This window comes from Homo sapiens, chromosome 5, assembly GCF_000001405.40.
Source record: "Homo sapiens chromosome 5, GRCh38.p14 Primary Assembly".
NCBI classification, from domain to species: domain Eukaryota; kingdom Metazoa; phylum Chordata; class Mammalia; order Primates; family Hominidae; genus Homo; species Homo sapiens.
The window spans coordinates 154255318-154279420 of record NC_000005.10 but is presented as its reverse complement, the minus strand read 5'-3'; the positions used below and the strand labels follow the sequence as shown (position 1 = coordinate 154279420).

The 24103-nt window shown below is 42.1% G+C and overlaps 1 protein-coding gene across 1 annotated transcript in view, besides 1 other annotated feature; it reads right to left on the bottom strand.

The window, feature by feature from the left end:
- The window catches only part of GALNT10 (polypeptide N-acetylgalactosaminyltransferase 10), a 230252-nt gene that overhangs the window by 141564 nt on the left and 64585 nt on the right, over positions 1 to 24103 (bottom strand). The gene's annotated exons all lie outside the window — the stretch shown is intronic.
- Positions 2393 to 2442: an enhancer, noted in NCBI's record as "active region_23475". NCBI's record gives its function as "activates an Ori minimal core promoter by ATAC-STARR-seq in GM12878 lymphoblastoid cells {active_cell/tissue: GM12878}" and the evidence as "EXISTENCE:reporter gene assay evidence [ECO:0000049][PMID:35858748]".

Sequence of the window (24103 nt, the reverse complement as noted above, 5' to 3'; positions counted from 1 at the left end):
GAGGCAGGAGAATTACTTGAACCTGGGAGGCGGAGGTTGTGGTGAGCCGAGATCGTGCCATTGTACTCCAGCCTGGGCAACAAGAGCAAAGCTCCATCTCAAAAAAAAAAAAAAAACAAAACAACAACAACAACAACAACAACAAAAACTAGCATTAAATATCATTTTACACCTGCTAGGCTAGCTATAATTTAAAAAGTGGAAAACAACAAGTGTTAGTGAGGATGTGGGTGGAGAAATTGAAACCTTTGTGCACTGCTAGTAAACATGCAAAATGGTGCAGCTGCTGTTAAAAACTTTTGTGGTTTCCAAAAGGTTAAATGTAGAACTACCATATGATCCAACAATTCCATTTTAGGTATGTATCTAAAAGAACTGAAAGCAGGGACTCAAACAGACATTCCTAGGCCAATGTTCATAATAGTCACATTACCACAATAGGCAAAAGGTAGCAACAACTCAAGTGTCCATTAATAGATGAAGGTAGAAACAAGATGTGACATATATATAAAATGGAATATTATTAAGTCATAAAGAAGAATGGAATTTTGATATCTACTACAACATGGATAGACCTTGACCATATTATGCTTAGTGAAACAAGCCTGACACAGCAGGTCATACATTGTATGATTCCACTTATATGAGGTACCTAGAATAGGCAAACTCATAAAGACAGAAAGTAGAACAGAGGTTACAGGGGAGTAAGAACGGGGATTGTTGTTTACAGGGAGTTATTGTTGGGAATCATTAAAAAATTGGGTATAGATAGTGGTAATGGTTACATAGCATTGTGAACATATTTAATGCCACACAATTGTACACTTATGAATGGTTAAAATGACAACTATTATATTCATTTAGCACAATAAAAAAATACCTCCCTTCTCCTCCCCTCTAAAAAAGCCAATTCTTCTCATTTTCAACTCTTACATATTCTAATACCCTTCTGGTGATTCATAAAGTATATTAGCATATTAAAGGCTCTTTGAAGTCACACAGAAAAGAAAGCTGTCTAACTTTGTTTAATCCAGCATTTCACAAGTTTATTTGACTAGAAGTCCCCAACTCCAACAACCACTCATCTACCCCCACCCACTAGACAATGATTAATACCCTAGGAAGCTCACAGACTTTTTTGATGCTTATAAGATTGGGTTGATGAGGGAGAATACAACATGATTCTTCCCCTTGGCAGTGTGCAATCCAGTTTTGTTTTGTTTTAAAAAAGCTCACAGACATGAAACAACTACACCAAGATTTCAAACTGACATACTAACTTGGAAGGAGGGAAATAAAGTTTATGTTAACATTTTCCAAAGGAAGGTTTCAGTCAATTTCTGAAGCATCCGTCACCCATCTGGTCCACTCATTCATCCATTCATCCATCTATCCATTCACCTAAAACATGTTTATTGTGCAATTACTATTTTTTTGGCCTTAGGTTAGGTACTCCAGGGAATATCATAAAAGACAATGATTTATGTCTATGATACAGGACAGATTGGAGATCCTTTCATTTCAAAAACTGCTACTGGGACCTGGGAGAAGAACCACAAATTCTCAGAAGCCAGAAGAATGGTTCTGGGAACAGTTTTGCAGAGGAGCACCGGGGCTGGGTGTTGATAATGAGTACCACATGAGTAAAGGTAATAAAGTTGCCCTGAAATACTCCTCTTTTGTCTTTCACTCACAAAGAAGACTGTAGACTATTTTATAAGCCTGGCTTCTGATAACTCTGGTTTATGGGTCACTGTACCTTTTCCAAATGGTTTATTACATGCAGATTTCTCCAAAAGCCTTGGCTTAGCTTGAGAAACAATGCATTTGAATTTCTTTCATTCTAGAGTTTAGGAAGATTTCTCAGGATTACTATAGTAGATTGTGAAAGTGGTCTCAATCCTCCATCCCAGGCCCTTTGCAAAGGGATTGTGCAGCTCCTCCCATCAAAAGTGGGTCTCTTTCCACACCTATTGAAGTTGGTCTGGCTCTGTGACTTGCCTTGGCCAAAAGAATGAGGTAGAAGTGACAGTGTGCCAGCTTGAGTCCAAGCTTCGAGAGACTTGTACTCTTTCATACTTATTTCTCATCCTTCTTCCTCCTCTATGAGAACAAACCCAGCCTAGTATGCTAGAAAGATGTTAGAGGCAAGCAGAAGATAAGACATGTGGAGAAGAACTGAGGTAATCCTAGACAGCTGACAGAGAGCCAAGCCCCAAGGATATGAGAGACCCCAGCCAAGTTTAGCAGAGCTGCCCAGCCCAGCCCCAGTTGACCAGAGATACATGAGTCAGCACAGCCAAGGCCAGAGAAACCACCCGACTGATGTGTAGTCCTTTGAGCAACAACATATGGTTGTTGTTTGAGGTCACTGAGCTTTGGAGTAATTTGTTATACAGCATTGTTTATGGTAAGGAGGAATCAAATGACCTTAGAGAGGATTCAGTTCCGTTCTGTGTTTGCAAGCTAAGGTGCCAAAATAGAAACAGAACTGTTTGTATCTTGTCCTCCCACCTCATTTTTTAAGATCCAAACAACACCTATCTTCTGAGGTTCAGTTCAAACACCACATCTTCAAGAGGCCCCACTTCTATCCCCGCTCCGCTTACAAAATAATCTCCCTTCCACTGACCTCTCACTGCACTCTGTCTGCCTCTCTCTTTTTGGAAGTTACCACTTAAAGTCTTAAACTATAGCCATTTATATACATGTTATTCCCTCTTACTGGACTCTAAACTAGTGTTTTTAAACTATCTGTAATGAAGAACCACTTCAATTTCTAATTCACTGTGAATGAAACCATCTGTGGTAGGCAGAATTCTAAGAATGACTTCCAATGACCTTCATCCTCCTATAATCCCCTCCCCTTTGAGTGGAGATGGAACCTGTGAATATGATGAGATATCACTCCTGTGATTACATCAAGTTATATGGCAAAAAGGAGATTATCCAGGTCGACTTAACCTAATCACACACAAAAAGCTGAGAGCTTTCTCCATCTGGCGGTACTGAAGGAAGTCAAAGTGATTTGAAGAGAGAGAAGAATTAAATATGGCATTGCTGGTTTTGTAGATCAAGGGGGCCATGTATGGGTAGCCTCTAGGAACAGACAGCAACCCCTGGCCTGCACAAAAACCAGGGGCCTCAATCCTGAACTGCAAAAAACTGAATTCTGCCAACACCCTGAATGAGTCTGGAAGTGGACTCTTCTCCAGAGCCTCCAGATAAGAGCCCAGCCTGGCTGAAACATTGATTTTGGCCTTGTCAGACCCTAAGCAGAAACTCCTGTTTAGTCAGCTTAGTTAGACTCATGACCTGTAAAACTCTGAACTAATAAATTCTTATTGTTTTAAGCCACTAAATATGTAGCGACTTGTTACACAGCAACAGGAACATGATATACTTCTCAATAGTATGGCAGATTGTATTTTCAAAGGCTAGCTGCAATGAAATCTTCTGTCCCTTGTGCTCTTCTACAACCTTTCCACAAGCTCACTGAGAGATGGAATTTCCATCCTCTGCCTTTGAACTTGGGCAAACCTTTGTGAATGCTTCAATCAATAGAGTTTGGCAGCAGAGATGCAAAGTGACTTCTGATTTCTACATGACTAGATCATAAAAGTGCCAGGCACATTTTCCTTGTTCTCTTGGGACATTCATTCTTGGATCCCAGCCACCATGCTATGAAGAAGCTCCTCTATGGAGAGGTCGACATGGAAAGGAACTGACAGCCAGCACCACCTCACCAGTCATGCGAATGAGCCATCTTGGAAGTGGATGCTGTGGCCCCTGCTGACCCACCTGGCAGGCGCTGTGTGCAGCAGAGATAAAGTGTTCTGCAAAGTCCTGCTCAAATTGTAGATTTGAAGAAATGAATGACTGTTGTTCTTTTAAAGCCACTAAGTTTGGGGGCAATTTGTTAAGCACCAATAGTAACTGAAACAAGTGTGCAGCTTGTGTCACATGCAATTCACCACACGAGCCTGACAGCATGTGAACTGCTCTATGTCTATTCAACAAGATAAGTCTACTGAGCATGCACCTGGCTGTCATGGCAATATCAAACTACAACAAAAGTTTCTGAACAACTATCCTCAATTCCCCTATCTATCTCATTGTGAACTGGTGCTGGTCTGCAGACTACATTTTGAGAGGCATTGCTATAAAACATCTCTGGGCCAGACCCATTTTTATTCATCTCTGTATCCTCCCACGTGCTTTTTAGAATTCCTGGAAATAGGAGCAACTCAGTAAATGTTTATGAACTGAATAGAAGACCCAAAGAAAGCTGAGTCTGGAAGCTCAACTCATTCGTTTTATAGACGGTGATGTGGTAGTCCAGAGAGGTGAAGGAGTACACTCAGGGTCATGGAATGAGCCAGTGTCAGAACCAGGAGAAAGCCACAGAATTCCTGAAACCTTCCAATCCAGACGTTGGAAACTCAGCTGCTTATGTATGTTGTGAAGGGGGAGTGGCCAGGTGTAAGGCACTGCAGAAATATGATGGCTGGGGGAGAGGCGAGTGCATGCATGCCCATGTGAGGGGCAGCTGCTACCCCAGCTCCAGCCAACTGTTGCCAAGTGAGGGCCAATGGAACTAGATGTTCATTTTTCAAAGAGCAGCTGGAAAATTCAGATTTCTAGGGGCTATTTCTTGATTTTTAGTTTATTACATTAGATAAACAAACATGTTTGCAGGCTAGATTTTATCTAGCAGGCCACCAATTTGCAATTCCTGAGCTGGTTGAGTACCTGTAATTTACAGATAAGGAAAAATGAGGTCCTGAGAGGTTACAGGTTTCACCAAGAACACGTAGGAAGAGGTGGCAAGGCCATTTTCTGACTTGTCCAGGAATTTGGTGACGATGATGGTGACCCACATTTATTGAGCTCCTATCATGGGCAAGGCAATATACCAGGCACTTAGACCTATAGTTTCATTTAATCTTTTCAACAGTTGCAGGAAGCAGGCACTAGTAGTTCTCCTTTTTACAGACTCCAAGAAGCTAAGTAACTTGGCAAGATAGTAGCATAAGTAAGCAGCAGGTCTGTGTTCATAAGCATGTTTTTACAAGGGGAATGGTTTTCTATCACCTTACACCATTTCAATGTCTCTTTAGCATCCTACCTATCAAAGCCCCAGGTTCAGTTTTACCTGGAATTGTTGCAAAATCCACCTTCTAACATTGTCTATCATTTCAACCCAGAAGTAACTCAAGGTTGACCTGTTTCCTGTCCTCCAGAATCTGAATGACATTCAGCCTGTACACAGCTCATCCTCCCCAACTGTTGACTCTCCAAAGGGCCAGAGTGTGTCTGCAGCTACTGCAGTACAAGCAGCAGCTTAGGCTACAGGGCTAGAATGCCCTAGCTTTCTTTGCTAAATAGAAGGGAAGCATAGAATTGAAGAGGTGAAAGAGGCTCCAGAGAAATCATATAAACCTATTATTTTCAAACTACATTCAATGGATCTCTGGAGATGCAGCAACTGGGAGGCGGAGGGGGAGCCCGGCAAGAGGGGCCCCAATTTCTTCTTTGTGATACATTAATTAGGCTTTCAAATAAGATTATGTGAAAAGTGTTCCACTGCTTTAAAAAACAAGTTTGAAAACCAATGATCTAATCCAACTCCTTCACGGCATTTTTAAAATGCCAAAAACCCTATAATTTGATTTGCAATTATAAAAGTAATAAAGGCACATGGTGAAAGATGCAGCCAAAAGGGTACAATGAAAAATAAAAATTTCTCCCTACTCCCAACCCTTACTCTCACCCCCTAGAGATAACCACTATTAACAACTGCTTGTGTATCCCCTCCAGATTTTTTAATAAACAAACTGAGCCCCAGGGATTGGCTTGTCTGAGGTTATTTGGCCAGGCTCAGGGCTATTTACTGGACATTATGCTCCTGGCAACCCTCTCTCCTTTTATAACTTGCAAAAGTCTGAAATGTTTCCACAGATTGCAAACTCTCTCCCCAGTCCACTTGCAGCATGAGAAACCATACATTATGCATCTGCTGGCCTCACTCCCTGAACAGGAAGCTTACACGTCTTTTTCATGTGACTTTATTTCTCCACGATCTTTGTTTCATATGGTGGAGAAACCACCAGAATCAGGTTCTCAGTGCCGGCCAGTGTTCAAGCCAGGAGCAGCAGCTATAAAACTGCATGCTCAGCAAGTAACTGGGCCACTAGACAGGAAGTCAGGCTTGAACCAAATTCCTGCAAGGGGCCACACCTCTATATCTGTGACCTCAGAAGATCCTCCTCCAACAGCTTAGGTTCTTCTCTGAGTGCAGTGTTAACCTCTCCACTCCTCTCCTGGCTCTGAGGCCACTCTCTCCCTAGTCCCAGTCTTCCTGCCTGCCCTCTTGGCCTCAGCTGACCCCTCGCCCTCAGCATTCCCCATCTGCAGCCCCCTTTCCTAACCACCAGAAACTGCAGATCCACCTCCAGGCTGAGCCCATTTCCTACCGTCTAGAGTACACAATTCAAGGTTGCAGTAAGCTATGATCTGGCCCCTGCACTCCAGCCTGGGTGACAGAGTGAGACCCTGTCTGTAAAAAAAGAGTACATATAAGACAGAGCACTCCGAGCCTCTTTCTCCCATAGAGAAGACCTGAAATGCTAACACTTATTGGACTCTCTATGTTCCAGGCTCTGCGCTAGGCAATTTCAAGTCCTTATCTTCACCACAAGCCTAGAGGGTGGCACTATTATTATCGTTCCTATTTTATAGATGAGGAAACTGACATGGAAGTGGTAGCTGGGATAGGAACATGGAGCTGGCTAACGCAAGGTTCAGGAGGGATTTGCTCAAGTTCCTGATGCAGGTGAGTGGCGCTGACCCCCAGGCCTCTGATGTCTGCCCACTATACTCCATTACACTGCCCACGTGGTGTTCCTGGAGGGACAAAACACCCACAGGTAACCCTGGCTGACTGTTACCAATTCCCCTCCCTGTTATCCATAGCCTAGTTCCTTTTTGAGGCTCCTGAAGAGGACCCTGAGCCTAAAAGAAGGCCATAGATCTGGGAAGAAATTAATCCCACATTACTTGTCAGCAGTGGCACAGACTCCCTGCCATTACCTAGGTTACCTGACTGGAGTTTAAGCCACTACCGATCACTCCCCTATTTACCTTAATTAATCAGATTGGCATGGCTCCCTCAGGAGGGGTGCTCAGACCTCCCTGTGCCCCTGGGATAAGTGAGGAAGTTGGGGAGCGCTTCTTGGCGAAAAGACCTAAGAATTGCAGGGAGGCAGCCCTGGAGGCCAGGGCGGGTAGGAACACTAACAGAGGGGCCGCCTGCACCAGGTGGGACAGAAGAGGCTCATTCCCAAGGGTATTTACTTGCCAGGAAATATCAACTATCACTCAGAAGGCAAAAATATGCTGCCAGGCAAAGCATAATTATAAGTTGTATTATTTGAGCTATTCATAAGGAAGGCATGAGACCTGAGAAAATAGCTGTCTCATACGTGAAGGGCCTCATTTCATTTTGCATGCTTTAAAAAATTATGCAGGAAGGAGGCAGAGCAGCAGCTGGAGGTAGGGAGGAAAGCCTTTCCTCTGCATACTGCAGAAGGCTTATTTTCTAAGAAACACTCTATTGGATGACCTGAACCTCAGCGTGGACTCTACCTGCATTTCTGGCTTTTGACTCTTTCCTCTCTAGGTGTGCATTTTAGTTTCCTGAAGGAGTCACAGATGACTGGACATGTGGCATCCACTGGGACATTGTCTAAAATATGTCAAGGCTCAAAAGATGCAAGATTTATAGACATAATGACTTCTGCTTCCTCACCAGATAGAAATGAACACATAATGAGAAGGACAGACAGACAGACACACCCACACACAACCCCTTGGACTTAGAAAGCTTGAATGCAGCAAAATCATCTAAAAGAGGCTTTGGCTCTATTATTTTTATTTTATGTATTTATTTTTTGAGACGGAGTTTCGTCCTTGTTGCCCAGGCTGGAGTGCAATGATGCAATCTCGGCTCACTGCAACCTCTCCCTCTGGGGTTCAAGCGATTCTCCTGTCTCAGCCTCCCAAGTGTCTGGGATTACAGGCACCCGCCACCACGCTGGCTAATTTTTGTATTCTTAGCAGAGACGGGGTTTTATCATATTGGTCAGGCTGGTCTCGAACTCCTGACCTCAGGTGATTTGCCCACCTCAGCCTCCCAAAGTGCTGGGATTACAGGGCTTTGGCTCTATTATTAAACCCTTACAGCAAGCACCACCAGATCTACATACAGCCCCAGCCTCATTTACAGGACTCAAATATCTGTCCAGGCTATTGTTTCTTTGGACATACTACTTGTCCACTTTATCCTTTTTTAAGGCATCCAGTGGGCCACACAAGCAAATGAATTTAGACTGGCCACTTGGTATCCCTTTTTTTTTTTTTTTTTTTTTGAGATGGAATCTTGCTGTCACCCTGGCTGGAGTGCAGTGATGTGCTCTCGGCTCACGACAACCTCTACCTTACAGGCTCAAGCGATTCTCCTGCCTCAGCCTCCCGAGTAGCTGGGACTACAGGTGTGCGCCACCACTCCCAGCTAATTTTTATATTTTTAGTAGAGATGGGTTTTCGCCATGTTGGCCAGGCTCCTCTTGAATGCCTGACCTCAGATGATCTGTCCATTCAGCCTCCCAAAGTTTTGGGATTACAGACATGAGCCACTGTGCCCAGCCAGGAGTTCCAATTTCACAAGTGACCCTGAACATGGTGTGTAATGACCAGGCCTCAGTCTCTTCATCTGGAGAAGAAGGAGGATACTTCATCCAGCTGACTGGAGGATCAAAGGGCAACATGCATAGGAAAGCGTTTTGTAACGTGAAGGACCATGCACATGGAAGTGCTCATCATCGTCCTCTGAACTGGGTCACCCGTGACACCAGTGGTCTCATGTTGTTCAACCAGGGATGCAGAAATCACTCCATTTGCCTCTTATTGTTCTGTAAAAGGCCTGTCAAGCACGTGGGTCCAGGCCATCTCCAGCCTGGCCCTGCCCTTGTTCTTAAGCAGAATGATGCTAACTTTGATTAACCATATAACTGGGTATCCAGTCACACAATTAGACTACATAGAACTAAGTAAAATAATAGAGCTAGATCTAGTATGCATGAGGAATGCCTACTCTACTGTTCCAACTTCAGGGCACACCGCAGGAAATAGATGTGTGGGTATAGGCTGAAAGATGTGAGATGTAAGCTTTTGTTGGGCAGTAGAGTTTGTAGAAGCTCCAGTTTGAAGCCAGATAGCTGACATGCATTTATCAAGTATAGTCACACATGAATGAGTCAAATATGTTCTAAAAGTTGAGACCCCCTTCATCTCCATTAGGAACCTCAGCCAAGCCACTTGGCTTTGAAGGTTAGTCTGGCCTTTGATAAGAGAAAGAGTAAGACCTCTGGACCCGAGGTTGTGGGGCTCAGTATCCCTGCTTGGGTCAGACTACCTGGACTTGTTCTGCTAGCTTCAGTGCCCAGACTCTTTCCTTCTTCCTTCAGACAAGGTCCCACCTCTCACCTTGGTGTCACTGTGGGCTTCCCCTTGGTCTTCTGACTCAAGAGCCCAGTCCCTCCTACCCTCTGCCAGTCCAGCCCCTAATTCCCTTCCGAAGGATGTCCCAGACTCTCTAATGTCCTGTCTGCCTCAACCATACCAGGCTCCCTCCACTGACACTGTTCTCTGCCCACCAGCCTATAACCACTCACTGTTAGAGGCCTGGAGGCAACCTTGCTTGGGTTGTGGAAGCCAACCTAGTTCAGTAGGCCTGCCAAGTCCACTGGCCCCAGCCACGTCCAGCTGGGCCCGGCTCTGGTTCTGACAGTCTCACATTTCTGAAATATGTCAGGGCTCAAAGGACACAGCATTTATAGATATATTGAGCCAGGCTGCTTTTAGTGTCCTTCTGATACCACATGAAGGAGGAAGCACATCATAATAGACCAAGTGGTTCTAGTATATTATAGATTCTGCTTTCAGAATACCAAATGGATCAATAGGACTTTTTTGTGTGTATTTTTAAAAATTAAGTATTCACAAAATCCAATAGAAGAGTCAATAATGTTGGGATGTAGTAGAAAATTCTTGGAAAGGAACAATAATAGCTAGCATTTATTAAGCTTAATACTTTTTAGCAGCACCTGTGCACTTTGGGAGGCTGAGGCAGGCGGATCACGAGGTCAGGAGATGGAGACCATCATGGCCAACATGGTGAAACCCCGTCTCTACTAAAATACAAAAAATTAGCCGGGTGTGGTGGCAAGCGCCTGTAGTCCCAGCTACTCAGGAGGCTGAGGCAGGGGAATCACCTGAACCCGGGAAGTGGAGATTGCAGTGAGCTGAGATGGTGCATTTGAGCCACAATGAGATGAGGGCATCTCAGATTCTTTATATTTTCCAAAATAAACTCTATTTTTTAAGTAGGGATGGGGGGTCTCACTATGTGGCCCAGGCTGGTCTTGAACTCTTGGTCTCAAGCAATCCTTTCGCCTTGGCCTCCCAAAGTGTTGGGATTACAGGCGTGAGCCACTGCACCTGGCTCCAAAGTGAATTTTAATATTAATAAGTTCCCTGGAAACTTCTTGAGAAATCCATTTCCTCTTCCTTTTCTCTTATGAGGTGCTCTTAAGACCTATACCAGAGTATAATTTAAACTTTATTAAATGAGAAATAAATCTCAGGTGTTACAACACTGATAATTCAGGTTTGATCTGTTATACCACCTAACACTACCAATAAGAATGCAAGTCCAAAGTTACACACCAACACACTTCCTTGAATAGATTTTTCTGAATGCGATTTAATATTCTTTTGCCATCTTTATAAACTTAAGGATATCCTAAATTGTTACTCAGATGTGCACACTGTTTATCCAGACCTGTCTGCTCTACTGTCTCTTCCCCTTGAATGTTGTCATTTGGGGCTCCTTAACTCTAATGTGATATTTAGTCTGGGTGAGAGCCTGAAAGTACAGCTACCTCTGTGGTAAGAAGTTGCTTGGATGCTGTTTGGCTGAGTCTCTTTAGCCAACCCAGGGAGTGTAACCTTTTATGGTGGACTCGTAGGAGTCTGAAGCTCCATGAGTGGGTTGACCCTCTAACACTGTGGTATTCAGTGAACTTCAGTGTCAATGGACTGTGCTGTGCCCAATATTTGAAATGACGTCATGGGTGAACTCTTCACGGGTAGGGACTTGCTCCCTTACAAGGTGCTTGGCTAACTTTGCTTTGGTGATGGAGTCTGTTAATTGTATGTACCATCTGACCTTGCTAATAACTGCTCAAGCTGCAAACCTGCTTCTAAAGTCACTATGTTATAAGCAATTATTTGGCTCTGTGCAAAAATGTTAATTTCATGCTTTGTAAACATATCTCTTGTAAAAGACCAAGCTGCCTATAAAATTTGCTTTTGACATTCCCAAGATAATCTTCAGGGGAAAGGAAAAAGGGGATATCCTGTTAATCAGTTTCTACAACCTTCTTTTTCTTGAGACTTTTTCTTTTTTTAATGACAAACTAGAGGTGTCAAGTTTCACTGAGGAGGCAGGAAAATACCCAAAGTGAAGACTGGCATCTAAGGATGCTTAAATTCTTGCAAGTTCATTGTGTACTTTCAATTAGGTACAAGGAGTTTGGGAAATCTGGGAAAATCACATGCTTTTGGCTGACTAAACCTAGTGTCTTAGAGTTAGAAGGCTCTTAGCAATGATTTGGTCTACATACCTCACTATGTTGGCAAGGAAAAGGTGACCCAGAAATGAGACATCCTGCCAGGCTTACACAGAGGTCAACACTGGGGCCAAAAATTGAACCCAGAGGCCTTAATTTCTAAGTAGCATATTTTCCAGCAAGACATGGGCCCTAGGGCAGACAGGGAAAACCTAAACTGTTTTTTAAGAAATGAAGAACTCCAATCATCCTCTTCTCCAGTGATTTTCTACAGGGCTATGTGTTTCCTGGCATCCTGCTGGGCAGGGACAAGAAAGCAGCTGAAGAAGCAGATCACCGAATTCAATTCAAGAGGCATGTCTGGGTCACCTACAACAAGTGCTTCTCACACTTTCTGCCACCCTCTACCTGCTACCACTTTCCCCAAAAAACATCATGTGCTTAGAGCAGGAGCATCTGGGAAGCTTTTGGCCCCAAGTAGCCACAGCTACTTTGCTTCACCTTAAATATTCATCCCATATTGCAAATCGTACTTACCACGCCATGATTTGGATGTTTTATTTTAACTTTATTTTAATATAAAAACGTGTTTCTCTTCCTGTCTTCTCTAAATAGTTTGGGTCATCTTCATGCTTTTGGAAGGAATGTTGTGATTATCCAGCATGAACTCACTGTATGAAAGACCATACAAAGGCATGGGATCCAATTAACTCCAATATTAGCAGAAGGTGCTAAGATCTACAGGGGACTGAAAGCCTAGGTAATGAGCTATGGGTACACAGGAAAAGGAGAGATCAATTAAAATTTGGAGCAAAGTTCTCCAGAAGGATGAATAAGTTCTGTTTGTTTTAGAGGGTCTTGCTCTGTCGCCCAGGCTGGAGTGCAATGGCACAATCAAGCTCATCGCAGCTTCTAACTCCTGGGCTCAGGCAATCCTTCCACCTCAGTCTCTTGTGTGGCTAGGACTACAGGTAGGCACCACCACACCCCGCTAATATTTTTTTATTTTTATTTTTATAGAGACAGGGTCTGGCTACCTTGTCCAGGCTTATCTTGAACTCCTGGTCTCAAGGGATCCTCTCACCTCAGCCTCCCAAAGTGCCAGAATTAAAGACTTGAGTCATCACACCTGGGAAGCTGTTTTTTTTTTTTTTAATGATAGTCTTTAATTTTATTTTCCCTGACTGTAGATTGTTGGGAAAAGAGAAAAGCACAAAGGAGAAAATTTAAATCCTCTATAGGAAACTAGGTAAAGGGTTCATAGGATCTCCCTGTAATTTTTCTTACAAGTGCATGTGAAATCCATAATTAACTCAAAATAAAAAATTTAATTAAAGAAATCCTCCATAATCCTACCATCCAATAATCATCACTGTTAAGAATTTTGTAGTTCCTTTATTTATCTTGTTTCAATGCATGTGCCTGAAATCTGAAATCTAAAGACCTAATTGGAGGTCTGGAGCCTGCTTTCTTCACTCATGATATGTCAAGAGAAATTTCCTGCTATTAAAAGTTCTTTGAAAGTATTTTCAAAGAATGTATTATATTTGAATACATGGAATATCATATTCCCTAATGCTCGATATTTACTTGCTTCCAGTTTCCTACTATTAAATTGTTTTCATGTTACATATATTTTGCCACAATAGAAAAATTTCTTTAAGTTTCAATAAACATTCTATACATCCCACATTTCTGATTATCACCTCAGGCTGGACTCTCAGAAAGAAAGCTTCTGGATGAGTTTTTTAAAGTTCTCATTGCATGTTAATAAATTTCTTTTCTGATGAGAGTGGAGGAAGGTGGGCAACATTTTTTTTTTTAATGAGATTGAAACATGTCTCAATAGAAAAACTCCAGGTGACTGCAAAGTGCCTAATTGGCGATTTTCAAATGCATGGCCATCTGGGAGCTGGGTAAGAGGGTCCAGAAAACCGAAAACCCACCTGCTTGCAAACTGGGGTAGGTGCTTCATCCAGCTGTCACGCTTTCCTGACATCTCAATGCAAAGTGATCTTTGAAGAGAGATGCACTAAACCAGGACATATGGGACTGTCTTTTGTAAAAGGAGGCTGTTCGCTCTTCTCCTAGGAGGGTAATAACTTGGGAAATATGCATAAACCATTGCTGCTAGGATATAAACAGCATAAAATTATCCAAACTTGGAGCCATTAAAGATGCACATTGTGAATTTAGAATCAAAACACTCTATAAATTCATAGCAAATCTGCACATTGAAAACTCAGTCTGTACACTGTAAAAGCAGTAGTTGGTTTAAAGACTTTTGCAAATGCTCCTGAGTGTATTTCCTGGGTAGCCATGAGGTGTGAAATCAGTGGGCTTCTCTTGTGAAAGGCCTTGTCAGCATCAGGAAATTGAAGACATTCTGAGGTCCCTTATTTCCTGAGGTCCCTTCCAGGTCTACTGTTCTCAAGTAGGGTTTCACCCTTTGTTCTGGAAGGGATGTGCACAAATTTTCCTTCAAGACTGCATGACACCCTGCTGATTGTCTGGGGGAAGGGGAACAGGGAACTAAAGTCTTGATATGTTACCACAAGGCTCCCTACATCCATTCCCAAACTATAAATACTGCAAGAAGGGGAGAACATGTAAGGTTTAGAATACTCATCAAGAAATCTGTCTCTCCAGAAATTACGCTCGCTGGCTATTTTAGTGTTTCCCTTAGAGACTGGTAAAGAAAGTCAGCCTAACTACTGCCCCTGGAATGATCCTAGAATGAGGTCAGGAAGGGAGCTCTGACTGGTGTTCCCATTGGCTATAATTTCTGGCCCACTGGAAGTCATAAGAAAGCCCACTCTTTTGACAGTTGGCATGAAGAGCCCACAGTATTGGGCTGTAGATTTCAGGCACTCTCTGAGAACTGCTAAGTGGGGGTCTGTACGGCTTAGAAATGCAATTGATTTCATCCAAGAAAAGAGGAAACAAGTGTTCATTTATCCTTGTCTTGGACAGAGACCAAAGGGTCACTGTGGACAGCCAAAAGCCCTTTGACTTATCTCTGTCTCTTGGTATTCTAAAAATTCCACCTCATTGTCTTGTAAAAATACTATGTGTTAGCCTACAATTTTGAACAATTTCAATAGAAAAGTTTTAAAAAGAGTAAAAAGATTTACTCTTCTTACTCACCAAGATTTACCGATTGTTAATATTTTACCGCATTTGCTGTCTGCCTATATATACATTATATACATTTTTTTTCTGAGTCACATGGAAGTAAACTGCAGATATCATAATGCTTGGTCACTGAGTACTTCAGCATGCATCTGTCGAGCAAAGGAACATTCTCCTATATAACCACAATTCTATTATCACATTGATATAAATTATTATCTAATACATACTCCATATTCAGGTTTCCCATTGTCCCCCAAATCACTTTTTTTTTTTTTTTTTGGAGACAGAGTCTTGCTCTGTCTCCCAGGCTGGAGTGCAGTGGCATGATCTCAGCTCACTGCAACCTCCGCCTCCCAGGTTCAAGGGATTCTCATGCCTCCACCTTCCAAGTAGCTGGGATTACAGGCATGCACCACTGCGTCTGGCTAATTTTTGTATATTTAGTAGAGATGGCGTTTTGCCACATTGGCCAGGCTGGTCTCCAACTCCTGGCCTCAAGTGATCTGCCCGCCTCAGCCTCTCAAAGTACTGGGATTACAGGTATAAGCCATCACACCCAGCCTTTTTAAAAGTGACATATAAATCACATAACACAAAATTTACCCTTTTAAAGCATACAATTCAGTGTTTTTTAGTATTCTTATAAAGTTGTATAAACATCAACGCTATCTAATTTCAGATTATTTTCATCATCCTAAAAAGAAACTCTGTACCCATTATGAGTGCTATGGTGTGAATGTTTGTGTCCCCTCTGGAATTCATATGTTGAAATTCAAATCCAAAGGTAATGGTATTAGGAGGTAGGGCCTTTGGGAGTGATTGGGTCATGAGGGCTTGGATTAGTGCCCTTAGAAATAAGACCCTAGAGAGATTGCTCATCCTTTCTACTATGTAAGGGCACAAATAAGAAGGCACCGTCTACGAACTAGAAAGCGGGCCCTCATCAGACACTGAATCTGCCACTGCCTTGCTCCTGGACTTCCCAGCTTCCAGGAATGTGAGAAATAAATTTCTGTTGTTTATAAGCTATCTAGTTTGTGGTCTTTTGATATAGCAGTCTGAATAGACTAAGACAATCAGTCACTCCCCTTCTCCCTCCCCTGAGCCCTTAGAAACCATAAATCTACTTTCCATCTCCAGGGATTTGCCTATTCTGGATATTCCGTATAAATGGAATCATGCAATACGTGGTCTTTGTGTCTGGCTTCTTTCACGTAGTATAACGTTTTCAAGGTTCATCCATGTTGTAGTGTGTATCAGTACTTCATTCCTTTTTACAGCTGAATAATATTCCACAGTCGGTATATATACACATATTTTATAAATCCACTCATAAGTAGACATTTCAGTTGTTCCCACCTTTTGTCTACTATAAATAATGCTGCTATAAACACTCATGTACAAGTTTTTCTGTGGCCATCTGTTTCCATTTCTCTTGGGTATATACCTAGGAGTGGGACTGCTGGGTCATATGGTCACTGTGTGTTTAACCTTTTAAGGAATTGCCAGACTGTTTTCCAAAGTGGCTACATCACTTATAGAACCACCAGCAATGTCTGAGGGTTCCAATTTCTCCACGTCCTTGCCAACACTTGTTATTGTCTGTCTCTAAATTGCTTTTATAGCTTTTTTTTTCTCAAACCAAGATCCAATCAGGGATTCTGCATTATATCTAGTTACCATGTGTCTTTCATTTTCTTTAATCTGGACCAATTCACCAGTCTTCTTTTGCCTTTCCTGATGTTAACATTAAAAGAATAAAAATGGGGTCTAGTTCAGAAGAGGGATTTATTCCTGATTCTGATAGGATCCTAAAGCACCCTTCTCTTGCCCATTGCACTGACAACTTGAGGGTCTTGAGGGTGCAGCCTCCAGGGAGATAAAATGGAGCCCAGCTTAGTGCTGAGCACAATGACCTAGTGGCTCTTACCTGGTAAATGCTTCTCAACCTCTTAAAGCTTCTGTTCAGCATCAACAGGGAGGCTCAGGGGAAGGACAGCAGGTCAGACTGAGGTGGAGAAGAGCGTTTCTGATGGACTCTAGGGAATCTGAGTACCTGCTTCAAGTGGCCCTTGGTGATGCCTGCCTGGCTGGGCTGTCTTGAGTGATGGAGTTAATTGGGGTCACTGAACTACAATGGGGTGTAGCACTGGAGAATAATACCTACCAGCCCCACTGCAGTAATGAGCGCTGACATATATCACATTTCAGACTGTAGCTAATTAAATACTCTACAGCTTCTCCAACAGAAATGAAGATTTGAAGCACTGAGCTGAGAGGGACAGAAGGAGGGGTCCCGTGACCTAGCTCTGGCTTAGCCAAATTCCCTGCATTGATGCCAGGCAGGTAAATCAACCTGTCTGGGCCCCTCCCTAATCTACAATGCGGGAGAAAGGAATGCACATGAGATTTCTTTAAATGTTAGGGGTCTCCCATTCTAGGCAGGATACTGTCAGTTAATGTTACCGAAAATAACTCAAATGTATTCCTTGTCAAAGGAAAATTTAGGAAGAGCTAAATGCAATACAGCTAAAGCCTACAAGGTAATACTACCAGTAACCCACATGAACTATCTCTTCTCTTTTATGGAGTATCCCACGACTCTTCCATACATGCTATCTCCTTCATCCCCAAATAGGGCAGATAGATGTTATCATTCCCATTTTGCAGAGGAAGGCTCACAGATCTGAGGTTAATTCATTCATTCTGGGGCAATAATCATAAAGCATCCACCAAGTGCCAGGTGCTATGCTAGACCCTGATGGCACAATCGTAAGCTAAATAGGTACGGATTTTGCATTTTTGCTGTGAGCTTTCAACTGGGCAGGGAAGACAATAAGTAACAATAACAGGTAAGCACCACTTTCCTAAGGGAAATACAGGGAGTCCATGTGTGGGGCCCTAACCTTGGCTAGGGATTTGCCTCAGGTGTCATTCACAGAAGGTATGAGACCTCTGGTTCCTTCCTTCCATTCTACCAAGGCAGCAGGAGATATATACCTCCGGTAGTAGGAATAAAACTCTCACCTAGGGCCTGCTTAGCTGGTGGAAGAAAAGCAATGGAACACATTTTCCCTTGTTTGGTGCTAAACACAGAACTGTGGAATGAATGCACTTTAGTGTCCAAGGGGCTCATCTCCTAAAGCAACAAGTCCAGATAAGACTCAAGGGATCTTAGGGTTTGAGTAACACCCCCGAGGTCTTTGACCTCACCAGTAGTATGTGGTGTTGCTGGACAGTGTGGACAGCCTGGGTCCCTCCCTGCTCTGGAGCTCCGTTTCTCCACCTGTAAGGTGAATAGGTTGAACTAATGCTGTTTTTTTTTCTTTTAGCTTAAACCTACTTATGAGCCATCAGAACTTTCTCTCTTCCTTTCTCCATCAAAAGCAAAGACAAGGCATGATTGATGAATTTCAATGGTGTCTCCTAAAATGAAATTAACAGTGTCAGAAATCTTTATTGACCTGTGAAGTCAGACTCTTCAAGGTTGATTGGCTGGACACAGCTGTTTAACAATGGGTGTCCCCACCCCCGCCCCAGCCCAATTTCACACTCCTTTGCAGTTAATAGGGCTATCCCATAACTCATCCCAAGCAAGTGGAGACAGAATGGCCGGTGTCTACACTTTCTGCAGAGGCTGGTTCATAAAGCAGTATTTATACATTCCCTTTAACGTGACACTGCATTAGATCTATTACCAGTTAATTAAATTGTAACCATTTTATACATGGACTTCTGGTTGTGATCAGCATCTAAATGTACACATCCATGAGGCTGCATTGACTCACGTGAAGAAGCTAAATAGTATTCACTTAAAAGAGCATTACATTATGCAGAACCATCACGAGCAGTCAACAAAGGCTTCATGTTAAACAGAATTTAAAGGGATGGTATTTGCTACTTTACTCCCTTGAGAAACATATGCTTTTAAAAGTTATTTCCTGTCTCTGAATTCCCTGCAACTAGAGTGGTTTTGAATATTTTCTGATTTGTTTAAAATGAATGATTATAAAACTTTGTTAGAAACATTTGCATTCATTTAAAAAGGGGTGCATCCTGGATTCTGCCACTGTCATAAAGGGAAAAGAGACAGGAGACTAATTAAGTAACAAAGGCTCAGCCAGAAACCTCAGTTCCAGAGTCATAATCTCCTTTGCCAGGCACGGGGCAGATGACTGGCTGCACGCTTGCTCCAGCCTTCTTGGCCTAATCCTCCCTCCTCAGCAAGAAGCATTCCGACAGTGTCTGGAATAATAATGTAATTATGGACAGCTAAAACACCTCATCCATGAAGGACAAGGATTTGGATCCTTTCAAATATGGGAAAGAGAATCAAAGGCACCTAAGGGTGGGTTTTTTTGGGAGGGTTGGGGGGAGGTGGTTAGAACTGTCTCTCTCTTTTATTTTCTGCTAAAGAATATATGCTTCTCAGAGGAGAAATAGTACTTTGACTATGACATGACAGCCATTTAGGCCAAAGTGGCCCCTGCACACAAACAAAAAACAAACAAAACATCCACAAGTGTATTTCCCTCCAAAAAGCCAATTTGTTTGTTTGTTTGTTTTCTCCCTTCATATTTCTTCCTTGGGTCTAGATTATAAAGTCCTCACTGTTCTGAAAGAAAAGATGTAGGATTGCTGGGAAGAGACTGTGTTTTATGAATTTTATATTCCCTAGATTTAGCACAGTGACTGGTATACAAAAGGTGCTAAATACATGTTTGCTGATTGGTATCAGTTATACTTCATGTTGTTGGTTAGAACTAACTTTGCTAATTTCAATTTGGAAGAAAACAATTTTGTAGAACATTTTGAGTGCAGGGGCTTATAACATATGTAAGAATTGTAACAACCAAAAGCCAAAACCAACACCTAGAGCCATGATTTTCAACCAGCATTCCACAGAGACTTAGGGGCTCAACAGAAGTGACTCAGTGGTTGTTTTAGGGGAGGAGGTGGGAGAGGCTGCTGGGCTGCTGCCCTGTCTCATGTCCATTTCAATCAACATAACTCACTTCTACCTGTTTTCTTTGCTACACTTTCACATAAAATATCATTTGAAGAAATAGTTCCTGCAACTGGATTTTCATATAATCTCAAAGCACCTCCAAAAAAGATACCTATTAATTGCAAAGAGGAAAATGGTAACTTTACGCTGGCAGACATCACCTTAACTAAGTGATCAAAGTTATATCACCCATAATAAGATGTCAGGACTATGCCCTGATATGATGCAAGGAGAAGGTAAACATCTCACTTCTGTGTTATTCTTGCCTAAATGTGTCAAATTAATCATGAGAGAACATCAGACAAAGCCAAACTGGGGGATATTCTGCAAAATAATTGGCTACTGTTTTCCAAAGTGCCAACGTCATGAAAAACAAAAGACTGAGGAGATGTCACAGGTTGAAGGAAACTAAAGAGATCCCAGAACTAAATGTAATGGGTTGAATGTGTTTTAAGAAAAAGAAATAAAAAAGGCATCAATGGGAAAAACTGCTGATATTCAAATAAAATCGGTATATAAGTTAATAATATTGTTTCAATAATTTCATAGTCTAGATAATTAAACTATGCTTATGTAGGATGTTAACATTAGGGGAAGCTGGGTAAAGGGTACAAAGAATTATTTTTGCAACTTTTTTTGTAAATCTAAAATTATTTCAAATTAAGAGTTTTTTTTTAAAAAAGTTTCTGTAACTAAAAACACTTTAATCACCATTCATGAGAAACACAATTGGACTTTTGTTTGGATTGGCCTTTAAATATGGCAAAGGCAGGCCTCAGTGGGGACCAAAAGCAATTCAACCTCATGATCAAAGCCATGAGTTTCAAATAGTCATGAATAGCCAGGCCATAATACCCTGCACCTGCCTGGAGGAAAAGTCCAAAGAGCAGGAAATAAGAATCATTTACAGTGATGAACAGGCTGATCATTCTGCACTAGTGTCAAGAAGCATAGAAAGCCCACATCCGTGTAAGTGACAAGGGTCACAGGCTAGAATCAGTGACCAGGCCAGTGGATACTCCATTTATCTGTGATCAGAATCCCAAAGACTTCACCAATCTCTTCCCAGTGTGAGTCCTCACTAGACAAGTCACACAGCCTTGAACTTATTTTATAGAAAAAGGACAGAACTCTTGTCTTGCCAAGTCTACTGATTTAGGTATATGTGTGTGGATTTTAATGTTATTCATTTAAAAAAGTTTGACTATCTGGTTTCCCCGGCAATGCCCAATTATTCCCTAGCATAATGTAAGGAATAAGCAGTGATGGAGAACTGCTCAAGACAATAGACACTGAATAAGAAAAAAAGCACTGTAGTTTGGAGACACAGGCTCTCAGTACATTCTGGGTCTACTTTTCTCTAAAGGCTCATGGACATAGAGAAAGGTATGGGAGAGGAGGGAAAGGTGGCATATTGATAGTAGCCTGAATCAATTCAGGCTTCATCTCAAAAATCCCTAAGAATTTTGCACTCTATTTCATAACATACTCATGTTTATTTTTATATAAAAATTACAGTCCTTCCTAACTCCTTTCTTCCTTCTTCTCCTGAAAAGAAATGCCGTATTTATTCTGTAGATTTTTGTACCTGCTGACATATACCTTAACTTCTAGAAGCATGATGCAAAAAGGCTCAGAAAATGTTAATTTATGTATTGTAACAGCGTATTCTGGTAGTGCAAAGAAGTGTTTCAAGAAAGATTTTTAAAAACAGATTTAAATCTTAATAGCACAAACATATCTGCAAAATCTACTCATCAAGAAAAACCTCACTCCCTAATGATGTCAGATAAATGTAACATTGCTTTACCAGGAAGCTATGTTAAGACCCTAGGAAATCTATATTGTACATATATTAGTCATGCATGGGAAAATAAAGCTTGCCCTTTCCTTTTCTCTTTTTTTTTTTTTTTAAAACGGAGTCTCACTCTGTTGCCAAGCTGGAGTGCAGTGGTGCGATCTCGGCTCACTGCAACCTCTGACTCCCTGGTTCAAGCGATTGATTCTCCTGCCTCAGCCTCCCCAGTAGCTGGGATTATAGGCACGTGCCATCTTTTCAGTTACAGAAGCCAATAAATTCCCTTTTCCACTTAGGCCACTTTGAGACAAGTTTCTGTCACTTGCAATTGAAAGAGTCCTAAGACAAATGTCGTTTAAAAATGGAAAACACAGGAAGGCAGAGATGAAGTGGGTTTTTCTAATCTCTAAAACTCAACTTTAAGATCCAGGGTGAGGCAGCTTTGGTCAGGTGAAAGTATAGTCACAAAGACATGAAGGTATAAAGGAGTAAAAGGCACACTGGTTTCAATGTCAGCAAGCCAATTTCAAAATGGACTCTGCAACTGGCTAGATAAGTAGCTTTGGGGAACTGCTAAACCTGAGTCTCAGTTGGACTTTGCAACTGGCTAGATAAGTAGCTTTGGGCAATTGCTTAACCTGAGTCTCAGTTTATTTTCATTTATTTTTTATTTTTTTGGAGACGGGGTCTTGCTATGGTGCCCCAACTGGTCTCAAACTCCTGGCTTCAAGCAATCCTCCCACCTTGGCCTCCTAAAGTCCTGGGATTACAGGAATGAGCCACCTGTAATGCCTGGCCGAGCCTGTTTCTACACCTTGAAAATAAAGGTGACAACTTCACAGGTTTGGTATGAAAACCAAAGAGTTAATGGATGAAACAGCTCAGCACTGCCCAATCAAAAGAATCCTTTCTTTTCTTTGCTGGGGTACATGATAAGATGGGAGGAGATGGGGTGTGCATGCACTGTTGGGAGAGCATCTGAATTTGGGGAGACATCTGTTGAAGCCTGTATAGAAGGACTAACATCAAAAACATCAGCCATTGACTCTGGAACAAGGGGGAAAATCAAACCATCTCACCCAAACACTGTGACAGTGTTTGAAGAATATGTGAACCAAACATTTGACTATATCTTCATCACAAGCCCTCTCTCTTTTACAGAATTGCCTACTCCTAATATTGAAGAACACAATTGTATTCATCTTATGGATCTTCAGGGGAATTATCCAGTATTAGGTTTTTAAAAGCTGGCTCCTGTGACACACCTAAAAAATTCCACTCCCTAGTGATATGAAATAATAAATGAATGAGTGAAATGAATGAAAACAGATGAAACTGAATGAGAGAAATCAAATAATGAAAAAAAGTCTCAAACTGCAGGTCTAAGGTCATCCATCTATAAGGGACCACACACAATATTAAAAAAAAAAAAACAAAAACAACAGCCTCTGTTTAAAAATCCAGAAAGTTCTCTTAAAAAATCCAAATGTCCAGTTTCTGTCAAAAAACCAGAAGCCCTGGCAAGCCAAGCCCTGTATTCCTGCATGACAGCAGTTGGCAGGAGCTAAGTTGGCAGAGATGACCCCGGGGATGGTGGGCATGTTCTCCAACTCATCCACCTTCCAGTCTCTTAAATAGGCAGTGTCACTCATTCAAGTGGCATACCCAAAGCCCTGTAAGGATCTGTTTTTGTCTACCTTGAGAAGGAAGATCTGGGAGCTCAGGGAGCCATAACCAGGCTTCTCCTCTGTCAACCTCCCCACTCTAGAGGCAGTTATATGGTTACTTAAGAGAGTTATACTTCACTGGTAATGGATGCACAAGTCTATGATAAACTAAAAAACACTGAAATGTGAATCATATCTCAATAAGACTGTTATTTAGAAGAAGAGAGAGAGGAAGAAGGGAAGGCAGGGGAGAGGAGGAGAGGGGAGGGGAGGGGAGGGGAGGGAAGGGAGGCTTCCTGCAGGGTAAGGTTAGGTTTTGTGATACTGACAAGGCCTACCCCTTAGTAACCTCCCAGCTCTCATTTTAATGCCCTTTGCCTACTCCTTGAGAGAAAAACTTGGTTTCCAGCCAGCCACCAGCGTGGGAAAGTGTGGGAAAGTGGAAGACATACTAGACCTGGAGGGAGGAAACCCTGCTTTATCATTTTCTTGCTCTGTGACCTTGTACAAATCAATATGCCCCTCTGGGTCTCAGTGACCCTACTATAAAATAAGGAGTATAACCATTGAGCTGCTTAGGTCAAGGAGTGTTGACCAACAGTAGAGATAATGTCTGTGAAAACATTTTTTTAACCTATAAAAAGTTCTATCAGGTGCAACCAATACATGACCTCATGATATCACATCTCTGTCCTATGCTTGTGGCAGATGTAGTTTATCAATCACGACACTCTTTCTCATTATACCCGGCACTGCAATTGCTTATCCAAGAGCCATTTCCTCCTTTTGCCATGCCAGCAGG